The sequence below is a fragment of the Homo sapiens genome, chromosome 17 (genome assembly GCF_000001405.40).
Source record: "Homo sapiens chromosome 17, GRCh38.p14 Primary Assembly".
In the NCBI taxonomy this organism is placed as follows: domain Eukaryota; kingdom Metazoa; phylum Chordata; class Mammalia; order Primates; family Hominidae; genus Homo; species Homo sapiens.
In genome coordinates, this window is record NC_000017.11 from 57,545,050 (window position 1) to 57,549,332 (window position 4,283).

The window sequence follows — 4,283 nt, forward strand, 5'->3', positions numbered from 1 at the left end:
AGAAACAAGCACGTTTGGTGGGGGAGGTGGGGGCAGAGAAGGAGACTGAGTTTAGAGAAAGGAAAGATTTTCAAAGGAACTGTATAGCAGATTTTCCCCCCTCTGAATTCTGGAGGCCCCCCCGTTTTTTAAGTAGAGCGTTAATGCAACCTCATAAGTGCCTCCTCACTATTGCCTAGTGGACCGTGGGGTGGGCGGTGAGTGAATTGAACAGACAAAGATTCTTTGGGCAAAGGTTATCTGCGCTGAAGATGAAACTCCCATATGTCCTTTGCTATGAATTGGAACTGGGTGGATGGATGGACCAGACAGATGGATAGCAGTGAACCAGCTACCATATTTATAGCTAGGAGCACGTGCCCTTCTCAACTCCAGACATCCCCACCCCTGTATCCCACCTTGTTCTGTTCCAGACACATCAGAGCAGAGCCCCCTTTAGTTGCAGCAGCTATGGCAGCCGACTGCCCAAAGATGGAAACTTCTGTGTGTGTGTTTTGTCTAGAGATCTCCTTTTATCCACAAAGGGCATCACCGATGGGGGGACCAGTAAATAGAGCTGTCTGAAGTAGCAGGCCGTTGAAATTCTAGTATTGTGACTTAATGAACTCTTGTCTTTAATTCCTATGACTTGGAGAAGACAGCCATTCTCTCCCCATAATGGAGCTCGTTAACCCATCTCTGTACTGACTGGTGCTTTTATTATTATTATGACGACTGGAGAACATAAGTCTGAATGTTAGAATAACAGGTTTCCCAAGTGCCTGGCAGAGAAGGGGGTGTATAATGATGATGATCTTTCGTGGGAATAACAGCGGCCACCGGCTTATCTGGCGCAGGCATTATTACATCTGAGTCGCCTGAAGTGCCATTTGTGAAGACCTGGTATTTATTGTCCTAGATTATTGGGGTGGGGGAGGGTGAGGCAGCAGAGGGGACACTTATCATCCCGTCAGGGCTCGACAGCCGAGGGGCAGCTGCTGGGTGCGAAGGCCACAGTCAGCGGGAGGCCCCTGTGTGTAACTGGAGATTCCGGGGCGATTATGCCCAATTTATCACGCACCTCATGAAAATACAATCCACCACCAAAATGACTGCTTTTGGAAACTGTCTTGTCTCTTTTGAGCCGAGACTGGAGACAACCAGACAAGGTTCGGTGGTAATGAATAAAGAAACATTACTTTCTGAACACAATCTTCTGTCACCAGTCACTTTTCAACAGACATTCAATCAAAATGCTAATAGCAGCGGCAACAAGGGACCGCGGTTATTGTAATACTAATTGATTGGTTGGAGGGTGGGTTTTGATAAGTGCAGCCGAAGATTTCTGAAATATGATTCTCCTTAATTACTGTGATGCTAATAAAAACGAACAAATGATTTAATGATGATTTCCTGGGTAATGGCTTAAAGATTTTGTTTGAGTTTAAAATGAGATAGGGTAAAAAATACACCAGAAAAATAGGGCTCTGGTGGGTGGCCTTGCCTTTATCAAACCTAGGCATGGGGATTCAAATCCAAGAATGCCCTTGGAAGGCTGTGTGGCATGGTGATAAAGGCCTCTCCTGGGCAGCCAGGGACGACCAGGCTGTGGGTGGATTCCAGCTTGAAGTCATTGGCACTTCTGAGAGTGGATGCTGATCTGTCCATGTGTTCCCTTTGGGTTTCCCCAGGATGGCCAGGCTGTAGCCTCCCGCTGTGGGGCAGAGTGAAACCCCCTGCCCCAGGAGAGGTACATCTGTGCTTGAGGCTCTGGGGCTTCATGCTCTTGTCCCACGGCCACTGTGTCCTGGGCCCTTCCATGTTCCAGGTGCAATGCTAGTTCTGGCAGTACTGCAGGGAACAAGGCAGGCCAAATCCCAGCCCTCCTGAGCTCATGTTCTGCGGGGAGAAGGAACATACATCACACGATTTCAGGTACTGCTGAGGGCTAAGAAGAAGAGAAAATAGGGAGCTGTTGGCGAGGGGGCCTGGGCCTACTCTGTTTAGGTGGGTAGCTGGGAGTGGCCTCCCTGAGGAATAGGCCTTGGACTTGGGAGGCAGAGAACTGTGAGAAAGGCATTCCAAGGAGCAGATAACAGCAAGTGTGCAGGACCTGGCATGGGAAGGAACTGATTGATGTGTTGGTAGGACAGGTGGAGGGCTGGGGCCTCCAAGAGGGACAGTGGTAGAGATGACTGAGAGAGGCAGACAAGCGCTGGATGGTAAATGACTTGTGAGCCAGGCAAGGCAGATGGGAACCCTCAGGAGGAGGTCAGAAGGGCAGAGGCATATGGCTGGTGCTCTAGAAAGATCCCAGTGGCTCCCTGAATTAAGGAAGGACGGGGATGCATGTTTGGAAGCAGGGTGGCCAGTGGAAGTTTATTGGAGAAGTGCAGTGGAGAGCTGATGGCGTCTTGGGTGAGGGTTGTACAGTGGAGGTGGGGAGAGGCAGTGGGATTTAAAATTTATATTTGGAGACAAGTTATGGTAGATTCTGATGGATTGGAAATGGGTTATGAGGTGAGGGGAGAGAGAAAAATTAGAGTGAACTCTAGGTTCTTGGGTTGAGCTCTTGAGGGATGGTAGTGCTATTCAATAGTATGGGGACTGCTTTGGTGGAAGGAACACATTTTAAGAAGAAAATCAGTTGTTCTGTTTGAAATTCCCATTGGGATCCATTTGGTGATGTTTAGTAGTTGCATAGACAAAAAGTACACACACACACACACACACACACACACACACACACACACACACACACGTCTCTGGAGAATTAACATAACCTACCCAATTGTTTTTGCATAAACCTCTCTAAGGAAAGGATTGTTTCAGGGGAACTCTGAGTAGATTTTATCATCAGTGTGGTAGACAGTGAAACTTGGAGAAAGGGTGGTTGTTTGGTCCCTAAACACTCCAGTTTTTCTAGCATTCAGGGTCCCCTGTGCTTTTCTGTTGCAGTTCATCCAGAGTGTTTTGTGAATGATGTTGCATTCAAGAATCAAAGCATCATTGCATCCACCCCAACAGGGAAGAGAGATCCCATAGATGTGGACGCTCTTTAGTACGCATCGTGGCATCCTCCTCCCAGTGTGTGTAGAGGGGTTTGGGCTCACTGTGAATGTCCTAGGAAAACCAACTCTGGGGTCCAAAGCCCTGACCACTCCCTTCTTCTTAACAGCTCCCTGGGTCTCTCAGATTTCAAGGGCTTAACCTGTACAGAGGGGCTTACCCTTTGTATCCCTGTCCATGCAGATCATAGGTGGGCCTCCCTGGGGTGGGTGCAGCTCTGACATATTAATTCGTTTAAAAAAAAAATCAGATTTGTGTTATTGGGGTGGGAGTGGGGGCTTAATTGGGGCGGAGAGGCAGTGATAGCCTTCCTTTCAATTTGTCAAGCTTTCTTTCAAAAGATCTGCCAAAGAAGAAAGGGTAATTAATAGGCTTGAAGTCATTTCCGATGTGTCAGGATTTCTGCCTTGCTTCCAAGTGATAATGTTCGCAGGCTCCGGGCCTCTAGGGAGCCTTCCGTCTTATTAACTTGTCTGGGAGAAACAGGGAGTAGGGACAGCTCGGGCCAGTGGGTGACAGGAAATAAAGATTTGTGGTGTAGTGAGCTGTAAACACTAGGGCTGGAGAAGTTTGGTGTGGGGGGCTGGGAGCGGGTGGGGGTGGTGCAGAGGGAGAGGGTTTGCTCTCAAACTCCACTTCATGAAGCAAAGTCCTAGAGTTTCCTGGGTCAGATGGCCATTCGGAGTCAGCCCGGATAACCCCAGGGAAGAAGTGCTTTTTAATGAGCAGTGTTTAGACACTCGGCAATTTTTGTGTGTGTTCACCTCTTCACCCCTTACTTCTCACTGTTTGTTTACCCTTCCCCCCCCCACCCCCCCGCCAAAAAAAATCATCTCCCACTGAAAAGATCTTTGGACTTTACAGTGGTTATTCTCACAAGCCCTGGACATTGTCTGCACACATAGACACCAAACTTTTGACTTTTCCAAAGACAGAATTATTTTATTTGTTTGTTTTTTAAAAGGCTTGGTCTCACTATGTTGCCCAGGCTGGTCTTGAACACCTGGGCTTAAGTGATTCTCCCACCTGGGCCTTCCAAAGTGCTAGGATTACAGGCGTGAGCCGCCGGGCGCCGGCCGACAGAATTGTTAATGAGTATATATTAAGCATCTAATTGTGCATGCTGCCATCTAAGACTTGGCCAGTTATGTGGGCTTGGTGCCTAGCCTGCAGGGGTTTATGCTTTGCGAAAACAAGCCCACCTCCCCACTGCCCTTTTTTTTTTTTTTTTTTTG

The 4,283-nt window shown here is 48.2% G+C and overlaps 1 protein-coding gene across 12 annotated transcripts in view; it reads left to right on the forward strand.

Annotated features, from left to right (window-relative positions):
• The window catches only part of MSI2 (musashi RNA binding protein 2), a 445,731-nt gene that overhangs the window by 289,199 nt on the left and 152,249 nt on the right, over positions 1 to 4,283 (forward strand). The window lies entirely within an intron of this gene.